This window comes from Homo sapiens, chromosome 8, assembly GCF_000001405.40.
Source record: "Homo sapiens chromosome 8, GRCh38.p14 Primary Assembly".
Taxonomy (NCBI): Eukaryota; Metazoa; Chordata; class Mammalia; order Primates; family Hominidae; genus Homo; species Homo sapiens.
The window spans coordinates 11,413,949-11,426,322 of NC_000008.11; the positions used below are offsets into that span (position 1 = coordinate 11,413,949).

Consider the following 12,374-nt stretch of genomic DNA (forward strand, 5'->3'; position numbering starts at 1 on the left):
TTTGGCACAGCCTGAGGCTTGGATATGGGGTGAATCCAATGTGGCGCAGGCAAAGGCCGGGCCTCACTCTTGTCTGACTTGCCCTCCATCTGTGAAAATGTTTGTGCATTCCCCAACAGATTTATATAATATACATGTCTGTACCCATATATTATACATATTTAGAGCACATTGAAAGCAGAAAAGAAGAGGTTTAAAACATTAATAGAAGTTCTCGTCTTTTTGCGTGCATGTGACAAGGTTTCATTCTGTGGCCCAGGCTGAAGTGCAGTGGCGTGATCGTGGCTCACTGCAGCCTCGACCTCCCCAGGTTCAGGTGATCCTCTCATCTCAGCCTCCTGAGTAGCTGGGCATGTGGGTAGCTATTTTTTCTACTTTTTGTAGAGATAGGGTCTCACCATGTTGCCCAGGCTGGTCTAGAACTCCTGGGCTCAAGTGATCCTCCCACCTCGGCCTCCCAAATTGCTGGGATTACAGGCGGGAGCCACTGCACCTGGCCTCTTCTCTTCCTTTCACTCCATGCTGCATCATCTTGGTACTGCCCCGTGTCTACACTGCAAGTCAGAGTCTGCTGGTCAGGGTGTCCTTAGGGCTGCAGGCTGATGGGGTTTTGCAGGTCCACTCTGGATGGGGTGAGGAAGAATGAGAGGTAATCACTAAGATCCCATCTGCAAATAGTGCAGTTCTCCTCTACTTGGGGGCCCAGGCTAAGCTGGTACTTCTCCACACTTTGGATGTCAGGTTTGGCCATCTGACTTGTTTAGACCAAGGAAATGTGAGCAGAAATGATATGAGTCACTTCCAGGTGGGGGCTTTAAAAGCTGGGGGTGGGGTAGAGAGGAGAGGAAGAGGGGTCAAAGAGGAAAAACAAATATCCCCGTTGGGTGTGACTGCCATAACAAGATACCATAGACTGCGTGGCTTAAATAACAGACATTTGTTTTCTCACAGTCCTAGAGGCTGGAGGTCCAAGATCAAAGTACTGGCAGGGTTGGTTCCTTCTCAGGCCTCTCTCCTCAGCTTGTAGGTGGTGTCTTCTCCCTGTGTCTCCATGTGGCCGTCCCTCTGTGAGTGTCTGTGTCTTAATCTCCTCTTCTTATGCAGACGTCAGTCAGATTGGATTATGACCCACCCATATGACCTCATTTTACTCTAGTTACCTCTTACATAGTCCCATTCTTAGATGCTGGAGATCAGGATTTCAACATGTGAATTTTTGGGGGTCATAATTCAGTGCACAATAGCAAGTGAAGCTTTATTCCCGGTGGTGGCAGCAGGCAGAGGTGTGGACAGACCTCTTGAGAATCACCAGCTTTCCATAGCCGTTCCAGCTACAGCGGTGCAAAAAAGGCCCCCTGCTGAGCTGGGTGAAATCCGGGCGACTTTGGGGATGAGCTCTGTGAGTCACCTCTTCTCACAGCCTCTTCCCGGACACTGCCTGTCCCCGCCCTTCTAAGGGTTCTGTGAACCCTTAGTTCCTGAATCAGGTCCTTTCCTTCATGGAAGACTGAGGGGGCTTCCACTTTATTGACCAAACCCAGACTGGTGCAGAGGCGACAGGTTGGAGACGCATTTGTCCTGCTCCAGGCCCAGGTACCCCTCCCAGATGAGGCCGAGAGTGCAGTGGGTGGGGGAGCAGAGGTGAGCTCCCTGAAAGCCCTCCCTCCAGGCCTAGGCCAGGACCACCTGGGTGGGTGAGTCTCCGGGAGCGAGCCAAGGAGTGTGGCTTGTCATCTCTAACTCAGGTTTCCCTTGGGACTCTGGCTGTTCTTTAGCAAATGCCCCTTAGCTTCAGTAGTCTTTGCATGGAGAAGGGAGTAAGAGAATGAGCAGTGCAGGGCTTTCTGTTTAACAAATGGCTCAGGAAATACCCTACTGTCCTGCAAAGCTGCACCAAGCCTCACTTTCCTCGTAACCATCTTGCAGGCGGGAATGTTCCTGGCAGCGAGTGGTGGATGACGGATTCTTACAGCCTGCAAACACCTTCATTTTTTTATGATTAAAAAATAAAAAATAGACAAGGGTGGGGCATGGTGGCTCATTCCTGTAATCCCAGCACTTTGGGAGGCCGAGGCAGGCAGATCACTTGAGGTCAAGAGTTTCAGACCAAGCTGGCCAACATGGTGAAACTCCATCCCTACAAAAATACAAAAATTAGCCAGCTGTGGCAGTGCACACCTGTAGTCCCAGCTACTCAGGAGGCTGACGCAGGAGGATTGCTTGAACCCATGAGGCAGAGGTTGCAGTGAGCTGAGATCCTACCACTGCACTCCAGCCTGGGCAACAGAGCCAGACTCTGTCTCAAAAAAACAAACAAAAAGAGATGAGGTCTCTCTGTGTTACCCAGGCTGGTCTTGAACTGCTGGGCTCAAGCAATCCTTCCATGTCAGCCTCCCAAAGTTCTGGGATTACAGGCATGAGCCACCATGCCTAGCTAAAACACCTTTTTTCCCTTTTAATTTTTAAAAAATTGATGTATAATAATTGTACATATTTATGGGGTATATAGTGATGTTTCTGTGCATTCCGTGTCTAGTGATCAAATCAGGGTAATTAATATCCATCACGTCAAGCATGTATCCTCAAAGAAATGATAAATGTTCCAACGCATCTGAGGTTTCTCTTCCTTAATCAATTTCCTTTGGAGACCGCCTAGCTGTCTCCCTTGCTGTTTGCTTTGAGCCTGTGAACGGGGTACTTAAAAACAGCCCTGTCTGAAACCTTCAATCTGCTGAGCAGCTCCCATCAGATAGGGTCTGGTTACCACAGGCCTGTCTGCTCTGGTCACTGCCAACTTCCTCCTCTTCTGCCTGCCTCCTTCCCCAAGTCGTCTAGGCCACAGACTTCAGGCTTAGACATGGAGAAGGAGCCAGTGGGAAGTGCTTCTGGTCTTGTTGAGAAGTCAAAAGGGTGTGTGTAAACGGAGTTTACACCCTTTCCAAACATAAGAGAGACGAGATCTCTGGGAGGCCAAGGAAGCCACAGTTTGACGTCACCAGCCATGGGTCAGGGCACCTGGCCACGCTCAGCAGGGCACCAGCAGCTAATGTGGCAGCAGGCCGAGTCTCTGAATGAAGAAGCCACACCACATCTGAACTGTCGCTCCCCCTCTCCCCATACTCTGGTCTCCACCTGTTCAGTCTTGATCTCTCCTGGACTCACCCTAGCAACCCCCAGGTCACGTGGAGACCACTGGCCATGCACCTACCTCCAGCTCCGTTGGCTCTCCCGGCCCGTTTCCTCTCGTCGTCCTTCCCTCCTGACTCAGTCTAACACTAACATTGCTCCTTTGCAAAAAACATTCACTTTTGCTGTTTCCGTTCTCTGTCACCTGCTTGGCAAATCCTATCTCCCACTGTCTGCCTGGTCTTTGTCTGTATTGGAACTTCTAAATATTGCTGAAAAAATCAATCACTCCACCAGGCTTGCTGGACACACCCCACATTTATGACCACAGCCTCAAATGGGCAATCCCGCCACCAGACCAGACGGTCCATCTTCGCTTTCCTAATTAACTCACCCGTTCTCAGGTAATTATTTGAAAAATGTCTTTGCAAACCTCCAATATCCCACCTCCTCCGACTCACTTCCCTATTTCACAGACAAATAGGAGCGACCTCACGGGCTCCCTTCCTCTGTGCCACTGATTTGTTATTGAAAAGGGGTCCTGATCCAGACCCCAAGGGAGGGTTCTTGGATCTCGCACAAGAGAGAATTTGGGGTGAATCCACAGAGTAAAGTGAAAGCACATTTATGAAGAAAGAAAGAAAAGAATGGCTGCTCCACAGGCGGGGGCTGCTTGAATGGGCATATTTCTAGTTATTTCTTGATCATATGCTAAACAAGGGATAGATTATTCATGGATTTTCTGGGAAAGGGGTGGGGAAATCCTGGAATGGAACAGAGGGTTCCTGCCCTTTTTAGACCATGTAGGGTAACTTCTGGCCTTTGCCTGTGGCATTTGTAAACTGTCACGGGGCTGGTAGGCGTGTCTTTTAGCAGCTAATGCATTATAATTAGCAAATAATAAGCAGTGAGGTCGACCAGAGGTCACTTTCATTGCCTTCTTGGTTTTGGTGGGTCTTGGCTGGCTTCTTCACCACATCCTGTTTTATCTACGGGGGCTTTGTGACCTGTGTCTTGTGCCGACCTCCGATCTCATCCTGTGGCTAAGAATGCCTAACTTCCTGGGGATGCAGCCCAGCAGGTCTCAGCCTCATTTCCCCCAGCCTGTTTGAGCCGCAGTCGCCCTGGTTCCAATGTCCCTGACAGTAACGGGCACCCCTTTAGCTGCACCCTGCCTTCTTGCCTCAAGGAGGAAGTGCCTGGTCCTGTTCTCTGAGCCGGGTCTCCACTCGCACTCTGCCGGGGGTTCTCTCCCCTCCTCCAGAGCTGCAAGTGCTGTGGCTGCCCTCTTTCCTGTGCACATCGTCTCTCTTTCAGCAGGCACTGACCTATCTCACATGACAACACCTTCATTATATTATACGACGTTATGAGAAAACCACAAGCCACTTTCTGGACCTTATCTATGTCCTTGTCCAGCTCCTTGTCTCTGCTCCCTTTATGGCACATGGATGCAGCAAGGTGGCCTTTATCTCCTGCCTCCTCCTCAACCCTGGCCTTACCACTGAGCTGAGATGGCCATCTCCCCCATCACTGCCATCACGGTGGAGGAGGGGCTCCCTCTTGCTGAAGCCAGCATCCACCTCTCTGTCCTCTTCTTCCTTGATGTCTTAGCAGCGCTGGTGTAGACGACTCTCTCCTTCAAACAGTTTCTTCCTGAAGGCTGCCGGATGCCCTGTCCAGCTGCTTTTCCTTCTACCTTACTAGCTGGATTTTTTGTTTTGCTTTGTTTTTAGTTTTCTTTTTGTTTGTTTTTTGAGACAAGGTCTCCTTCTGTTGTCCAGGCTGGAAGTGCGGTGGAGCAATCTCAGCTCACTGCAGCCTTAACCTCCTGGGCTCAGGTGATCCTGCCACCTTAGCCTCCCGAGTAGCTTGGTCTACAGCTACCTTTTTTTCCTAAGTACCCTTTGACCATGCCTCTTTCTCTGTCAGATATTTAAATGTCAGGGTACCCAGACTGCATGTTCACTCTTCCACATAGACTCGAAAGCAAGCTAACTCACAGAGGCAGAGAGCAGAATAGGGGACTTGAGGCTGGGAGCAGGGCGTGGGGATGTGCTGGTCCAAGGGTTCAGGGTTTCAGTTAGGCAGGAGGAATAAATAATGAGCATTTGAGGTGATGGATATGTTAGTTAGCTTGTTTCAATCATTCCACATTGTACATATAGCAACATTTTGTACATCATAAATATATACAATTAGAATTTGTCAATATCCAGTGAAAGTAAATAAATGAATAAACATACACTGGAGTCCCGAGGCTGCCGTGCGCAGCCCTCTTCTCTCCTACACTCCTTTCCTGAGTTTACCCAGGTAGAGGTTTTTTTTTTTCTTTTTCTTTTTTTTTTTTTTTTTGACTGTCTCGCTCTGTTGCCCAGGCTGGAGTGCAGTGGTGCGATCTCAGCTCACTGCAACCTCCGCCTCCCAGGTTCAAGTGATTTTCTTGCCTCAGCCACCCAAGTAGCTGGGACTACTAAGCACCTGCCACCACGCCTGGCTAATTTTTGTATTTTTAGTAGAGATGGGTTTCACCACGTTAGCCAGGATGGTCTTGATTTCCTGACCTCATGATCCACCCACCTAGGCCTCCCAAAGTGCTGGGATTACAGGCGTGAGCCACTGTGCCCGGCCGGTATGATACTTTTAATATTATCTAAACATCTGAATCCAGACTCCCAAATTTGTGTCTCCAACATGGGCCTTTTCCCTGAATTCCAGGCCCTGTGTCCAACGCACTCCCCACTTGTATTAAATTGACATTTAAATATACCGTGAACCAGCACCACTGCTGCCACCCCTCTGCCTCTTCATCCAACTGCCAGCAGGAGGGCCATCTCTAGGTCCTCCATTTCCTTCACACTCCACATCCAAATTGTCCCCAAAGTATGTCCCCAAAGATGTCCCTAAGCAAATACCCATCAGATCACTCCTCATCCCCTCCGCAGCTGCTGCCCCATCTAGATCACACTCACGTCCTCTGTCCCTGCCCCTAATTGCCCTCTGGGCTCCCCTTTGCCCCTCCTCCCCACTTACTCTCTACACAGTACTTTCTACTTCGATCTTATGAAAGTTTAAATCAGATCACGTATCATTCAAAAACCCTATAAAACCTCCTGCGCCACTCGAATACAATCCCAGCTCCTGACTCTGCCCTACCAGGCTGGAGAGCCCCCGCCAGCCTCTGCAGCTGCCTGCTGCGCTGGCCTCCCTCTGCAGACCTCGGGGTCTGGGATTATCTTTTCCTTCCTAGAGCACTCTTTTCCCTGACCTCTGCACAATTGCCACTGCCACTGGAAGAGCTCTTCTCCAGGAAGCTTTGACCACTTGGGAAAAGCAGCCCCCTCCACACCTGGCGCCGTCTCACATTTTATCTTCTCTGTGGCACTTAGAATGGTTGGATTTGTTTGGAGGTCACATTCATTTCCCTGTGGGCTGCAAAAGTGCATGTGTGGTCCCACCGGCAGGGTGGAAAGGCCCTGGCTTCTTGAATGCCCTTTGAACCACATGGTCAGGGCAATGGCAGATTCCCCAGTAACCTGCTCCCTACCCACCTCACGCCCACTCTCCCCCAAGCAGCTTATACTGTGTGCTCTTTGTGGAAAGAGACATCACAGGCACTCCTCTTGGTGTAGACAGGGGATATCATCTCAAGGGATGGACAGAGATCTGCAATTGTTGTTCAGCGGTTCCTTCCACAAAATGGGATTAGTGACACCCACTTTGACCCTCTGACTTAGGTCTTTGCTGAGAACACAGAGATGGGATCAGTGAAAAACAGGGCCTTCCCTCACCTGCTTTGTCTTCCAAAGGTTTCTCAAAGTGTCTTTAGACCACCTGTGTCCATCACCTGGGGCGTCTGTGAAGCCCGGAGCGACACAGCCAGAATCCCTGGGGCTGGAACCCAGTACTTCTCCTGGGAATATGCATTTGTAACAGCAGCCCAGGTGACTTTCATGCATGCTCGATTTTGAGGTTTAAGAGGTGCTTTAAGTGGCTGAAAAAATTTCAGGCATAAGATCTCAGAGCATAATATGATCACCTTTGGAAAAGGCCACTGGAGGAGAGTGGGTTTACTTTGGCTCTGGCTTCTGTCAAACTCAGGAATCAAGCCTGCATTTTTTAATTCTACCTCAGCTTACCTGTGGAACTCCGGATAGTAACAACCACCAAGCAGCTTCCTCAAGGGGAAGATACAAGGAAGAACAGTGATTTGGGTGAATCTTTTTCTCCCTCCCCTGCCTCCATCTGGTTGCAAAAATCTTCCTTCCCTCCTTCCTTCCATCTGTTGTTCATCCATCCATCTGTCCATCCGTCCATCCATCCATCCATCCATCCATCCATCCATCCATCCTGTGTGTGCTATAACAGGGACAAGCTAAAAGGACAAGCATTTTTCTCTCCTTTTATTTTTATATGGATATCTTCTTTTGAAGTATTTTTATTTCACTTTTTCTAACAGCAATATAGAAACAAATAATCATAAAAAATAAAAGTATAAATCGTCCATTGATTATGTAATAGCACTTGGTATTGCTACAGGGTGTGGGTCTTGAACTCGGTCAGGCATCGTCAAGCCTGCCCAGGCCCTCCAGGCCTCTTTGATAGCTACTGAGCCCCTGAAGGCATCAAGACATGACCACGCATGGCAGTGTCGGTGGAGAGTTTGCGTTTTACACCCAGCGATGCTTGGGGATGGCAGAGAGATGGATGGATAATGAGTACAACTGCAAACAGCACTGTACACATGTGGTGAGCCAGGAGGCTGGGACGGAGGTTAGGCCAATGTTGCTGCTGACTCATAGACCCACAGAGAGCAGGGACTTCACAAAGCTGAATTAATGTGGTTAGTTGTGTTCACTGTGCAAAGTAAGGAAGCCAGTCAACACTGGACGATGTTTAGAAAACATCGCTGTCCCCCTCCACTTCTCATCTTGGGTCACCTCCTCATCCCATAATAAAGTTCTCTTAGGATAAACCGAGCAAAATAGCTCAGACATTTAACTTATCCCCAAACATGTGTCTTGATCTTAGTTTCCACCCAGAGAATGAAGAAAGCAAGCAAGCACTGGGTTACCCAAGCAACTAAATCACTCAGTTGCATCCAACTTAATTGGACTGACTACATTCAGCTAAATCTTTCCATTTTCGCTGAACCCAATGGTTTCGGTTACTGTAATGACTGATTTCCAAAAAGAAAGAAAAACCTAATTTGGCATTTTTTCAGAATATGGGATGGGCTTTCCTGCATGGGTTCAAGGATGTTTATGGCATGTTCTCTGTCGTGTGTGTGTGTGTGGGGGTGTGTGTGTGTGTGTGTGTGTGTGTGTGTGTAGGTCAGCCCGAGACCTCAAGGGCTTATCTGGAAAGAGGTTGGCAGGAAAGGAATGCGTCTTCAGGACTTGGCAGTGTTTGTGCAGAGCTCTGAGGAAGGACAGCAGTACATGGTCCTCAGGCCTGCAGACTTCATTGCACAGAGCATGGCAGACAGTAGATCTTGGCTGCGTTGTTCTGCCTACTTTGAAGGAGGCATAGAACTTCTGGCTCTTTGAAATTTTAAAAAAGAGACCAAGTTCTTTTCTGTCTACTAGAGATCATTCATTTGCATTGTCCTACTCTCAGCCCACAAAAGAAAAGCAACCTCTCCCCTATGTGGGTCACGATGTGTGGGTGGACACGGGCCCCACTGAGATTACACAGGAAGAAGTCACAGTAGACAGAGCAGCCAGATGCCGTGCGTAGACCATGGGACAGTGATTAGTGACACATGCCCTGTGGGGCCACTGTCAGTGCCTTGCTCCACCTTGACCCAAATGTTCTGAATTGCAATACTCTGGGAGATGTGGGTGGGGGCTGAGGTGGAGAGTAGAGGGGTTGGCAGTGTGCGGGTTTGGCAAAGCATCACGACCATCTTTGGGGTTCAAGTTCATTGACATGTGATCTACTAGGCATTATCAATAATGGTTTCACACATCAATATTCTATAGCCTAAACAGCTGTGCAACCTGAGGGAAGTCCTTCTCCTCCCCCAGGTTTCACTTTGCTCCTTTACTAATGAGAGGACTCGACTAGATGACACCAAAGGTCAGAAACACTCCTTATCTCAGGATTCTACGGGTCTGGCCGAGGGACCCCTGCCATGCCGTATGACCCCAGACTGACCTCCCTAACCTGCTGGGGTCTTAACTTGCTGATCCTCAAGCCTGTTGGGAGGGAGAAACTCTTAAAATCAAATCCTACGCACTGTAGTTGACCTACACAAGTGGCTTCCGCATTTGGACAAAAATCAGTTACTAACAAGTGAACAACACATCAGTAACAGTCTTATTAAAACTAGTTGTTTAGGTCAGGCACAAAATCTCAGAGGAGGCTCAGGATGGGCCTCTGGGCTCCCTAGATTGTCTTTCCAGAGAGGGCAGTAAGGTGACACCACCAGAATCCACCAGGAGGCCCCGGTCACGCCCCTGCAGGAGAATTCAGTTATGGAAAATGCTTTCAGGACCTGCCTGGTTCAGTCACCAGTGGTCTCCCAGGCTGTCACCCTGGGGTGTGGGTGGCAGTGAAGAGGCTCTTTGGAGATGCATGTGGCCAGGGGAGACAATGGGGACATCTGTGCTTGTTGCACCCAAGCTACGCTAGTGCCCCCATCACATGTCCCAGCACACGCCAGAATTTACAATTTACACAGCCTTATAGTGTCAGGCTCACCAGAGACACTGGCTGCCAGCCACTGGGGCTGCGTCCCCAAGTGCCCATTTGTCATGCCTTTCGATTTTCCCTTCCTAGTAGCTCCCTGTCAATGTTGCTGAGTCATGTACTTAGGGTGAATTTGAGACAATACTTAGAGGACAGCAACAGCACGTGAGACAGGCACATCTGACATGCCTAATTTCCCCCAAGGCCCTTGCGGGACAGCCTTCTGCAAAAATGACAGCTTTGTTGGGGGGCCTCCCTTTGGGAATCCCAGTTCATAGCACCAGTGATTCCAGGAAACAGGAACGTGACCGTGGAGGGATGGATTATGGTGGGAACCCAGGTCTCCTTTAACATCTTGGTTGGAGCGGCCCTTCTGCAGAGCTCTTTGGGTAGTAAGCAAGAGCCAGTCACAGAGACACTGGCATCCACACCCAGGGCCCCTGGGTGGGAGAGCACCACTGAATAGGTCCTGGGGCCCTTGAGTCGCCAGTCCCAGGGACCCCTGCCTCCGGGAGACCCACTGGAGTAACTTGGCCTCAGCTTCCTCTGACACCCCTCCAGCCCAAGCCCTCCGCTCCAGCCCCTCCGCCCAGTCTGAGGGCTCCTCAGCAGAGAGAGAACCTCCGAGAGTTGATGTTCATCTTGGTCACGCCAATAAGCTTGAGTGGTGTGGAGAGGCTGAAGGAGGAGGCAAGAGGGGAGTCACAGAAGAGGTCGGCCAGCTCATCCCGCTCCTCCAGCTCGTAGGTGGCATCGTTGAGCATCCTCCTGTGGAGGCGGCAGGTGTGTTCGATTTTCAGCTTGTTGATGTCGCCACGCAGGCGCATGAGCTGTCTGGCCAGTTGCTGGTCCTGCAGCCGCATCTCCGTCTGGAAGGGAGGGGGAGCAGGCAGGGTCAGCAGAGAGTGGCTCGAGTCCCTGACAGGCACAGACTGGTTAGCAGGGCCCTGACTAATGTCTTAGTTCATTAAGTGGTCCATCTAGAAATATTAGCACTTTCCCTGCTCAGGGAGGTGAAAAGACACAGAAAGCAAGGTGACAAATGAGGGTGCGGTCGCAAAACAATACTTTGTGCTAGGCTAGTTGCTGTATCTAAGTCCTTCTGAAAGACATGCATATTGGTCCTGGCTAGAAGATACTTCCAGTGCTTTCTCATTGTTTAGAGTTTCATTTAGATGGAGTAAGAGTATAAAGGAAAACATAGGGTAACAGCTATCAAATTCAGGAGGATGGTTGCCTCTAGGTGAGAAGGAGGGACTGTGATTGGGAAAGGTATATGGGGGCTTTGACTGTGATGGCCATGTTTTCTTTCTTACGCTGGGGAGTGTCATGTTGTTACATTACTCTTTAAACGTTTTAGAATGCCTGAAATATTTCTTAGTAAAGTTTCAAAACAGCCAAACAAAAATTGGTTCCTAGGTACTGGGTGTTTTATTATGAAACAGTTCTAAGGCCTTTGGGTCTATTAACATGCAACAGTTAACCGTCACTACAACCTGTGAAGTGATGTCACCATCATCACCCACAGCTTATAGAGGAGGACACAGAGGCACAGCCAGGGAATTAGCTGTGTCGGCTCACAAAGCTCATCCACAGCCGAGCTGGGATGAGGAAGCCGGACAGCTGGACTCCAGAACCAAAATGACTGACAATGAAGTTCTGCTGCTCAAGGACGAGCTGCAGTGTGGTGTATGGAGCTAGCAGAGTGCTTAGTGACCTTGTAGAAGGTTCCTAATATTTTTAGTGGCTTGATGTTTCCTATTGATGTGTAAACACAAGGTAAAATCCTAAGCCCCCCAACTGACTGAACAAGCCCGCTCTTCATCAAGAGGACCCCAGAGAAGCCTGAAAACTGAATTCCCAGCCGTGATGGGAATGGAGTTCAGACATGCTTTGTTATACCCCCCCTTGCTGTTGGAGTTTAGGCACAGCAGATCGGCATTAACATTGAAATAGAGATATAAGACTGACAAAACAGACTCTTTGTGGCAGTAAGGTAGCAAATTCCTGCCTCTGGTATAGCGTCACATAACAGGTAGCAAACCCTGAAGAAAATAAAAATATTTTACCCTGAAGTATATTTCTTTGACATATTTTGAAATGGCCCTGCAAAACCATCTCTTGTGGGAGATACTTACATCTGTAGAGCATTTCCATTAATGCAATCAAGCCTTCCCTTTCTAGGCCTTTCCAAGATCTAGGAGAGATTAAATGAGAGTCTGGCAAATTTAAGGTCTGAAAAGAGATATTTACCATCTATTTTCTCTAAAGGCTTCTACCTGGAGGCTTCATCTACATAACAAGAACCTTGGCCTCCACAACTGTCCTTTGTCTTAAGCATTTCTTTCTACTGACTTCAAGTCTTTAGGCAAAACTTAACTCTTTCAATCAACTGGCAATAAAAATATCTTTGAATCTACCTAAGACCTGTAAGCACCCCCACCCTCCAAGCCCCTTCAAGATATCCCACCTGTTTAGGCTGAACCAAGGTATACCTTCTGTGTATTGAGTTATGTCTTTGCTTGTAACTCCTGTCTCTCTGAAATGTGTAAAAC

General features: G+C 49.0%; 1 protein-coding gene and 1 long non-coding RNA gene across 7 annotated transcripts in view, besides 9 other annotated features; one reads left to right on the forward strand and one right to left on the reverse strand.

Moving 5' to 3' along the window:
* FAM167A-AS1 (FAM167A antisense RNA 1) overlaps positions 1 to 12,374 on the forward strand; it is a 70,256-nt gene that overhangs the window by 45,547 nt on the left and 12,335 nt on the right. The gene's annotated exons all lie outside the window — the stretch shown is intronic.
* Positions 2,542 to 3,043: an enhancer, noted in NCBI's record as "H3K4me1 hESC enhancer chr8:11273999-11274500 (GRCh37/hg19 assembly coordinates)". NCBI's record gives its function as "activates a minimal SCP1, AML or CMV promoter by ChIP-STARR-seq in primed H9 embryonic stem cells {active_cell/tissue: H9 hESC(primed)}" and the evidence as "EXISTENCE:reporter gene assay evidence [ECO:0000049][PMID:30033119]".
* Positions 2,542 to 3,120: a biological region, named in NCBI's record as "H3K4me1 hESC enhancer GRCh37_chr8:11273999-11274500".
* Positions 2,891 to 3,120: an enhancer, noted in NCBI's record as "active region_27005". NCBI's record gives its function as "activates an Ori minimal core promoter by ATAC-STARR-seq in GM12878 lymphoblastoid cells {active_cell/tissue: GM12878}" and the evidence as "EXISTENCE:reporter gene assay evidence [ECO:0000049][PMID:35858748]".
* Positions 3,044 to 3,543: an enhancer, noted in NCBI's record as "H3K4me1 hESC enhancer chr8:11274501-11275000 (GRCh37/hg19 assembly coordinates)". NCBI's record gives its function as "activates a minimal SCP1, AML or CMV promoter by ChIP-STARR-seq in primed H9 embryonic stem cells {active_cell/tissue: H9 hESC(primed)}" and the evidence as "EXISTENCE:reporter gene assay evidence [ECO:0000049][PMID:30033119]".
* Positions 4,152 to 4,221: an enhancer, noted in NCBI's record as "active region_27006". NCBI's record gives its function as "activates an Ori minimal core promoter by ATAC-STARR-seq in GM12878 lymphoblastoid cells {active_cell/tissue: GM12878}" and the evidence as "EXISTENCE:reporter gene assay evidence [ECO:0000049][PMID:35858748]".
* Positions 7,528 to 12,374, reverse strand: part of FAM167A (family with sequence similarity 167 member A) — a 54,433-nt gene continuing 49,586 nt past the window's right edge. For all 6 annotated transcript variants that reach the window (XM_011543840.4, XM_011543838.4, NM_053279.3 and 3 more), the window contains one exon: positions 7,528 to 10,688. In XM_011543840.4, coding sequence (XP_011542142.1) covers positions 10,425 to 10,688 — 264 coding nt within the window. In that variant the 3' untranslated portion in view covers positions 7,528 to 10,424. The remainder of the gene's footprint in view (positions 10,689 to 12,374) is intronic.
* Positions 10,577 to 11,120: an enhancer, noted in NCBI's record as "H3K27ac-H3K4me1 hESC enhancer chr8:11282034-11282577 (GRCh37/hg19 assembly coordinates)". NCBI's record gives its function as "activates a minimal SCP1, AML or CMV promoter by ChIP-STARR-seq in naive H9 embryonic stem cells {active_cell/tissue: H9 hESC(naive)}" and the evidence as "EXISTENCE:reporter gene assay evidence [ECO:0000049][PMID:30033119]".
* Positions 11,121 to 11,663: an enhancer, noted in NCBI's record as "H3K27ac-H3K4me1 hESC enhancer chr8:11282578-11283120 (GRCh37/hg19 assembly coordinates)". NCBI's record gives its function as "activates a minimal SCP1, AML or CMV promoter by ChIP-STARR-seq in naive and primed H9 embryonic stem cells {active_cell/tissue: H9 hESC(naive and primed)}" and the evidence as "EXISTENCE:reporter gene assay evidence [ECO:0000049][PMID:30033119]".
* Positions 11,121 to 11,744: a biological region, named in NCBI's record as "H3K27ac-H3K4me1 hESC enhancer GRCh37_chr8:11282578-11283120".
* Positions 11,553 to 11,744: a silencer, noted in NCBI's record as "fragment chr8:11283010-11283201 (GRCh37/hg19 assembly coordinates)". NCBI's record gives its function as "represses an EF-1alpha promoter that drives an FKBP-Casp9 reporter gene in an ReSE screen in K562 erythroleukemia cells {active_cell/tissue: K562}" and the evidence as "EXISTENCE:reporter gene assay evidence [ECO:0000049][PMID:32094911]".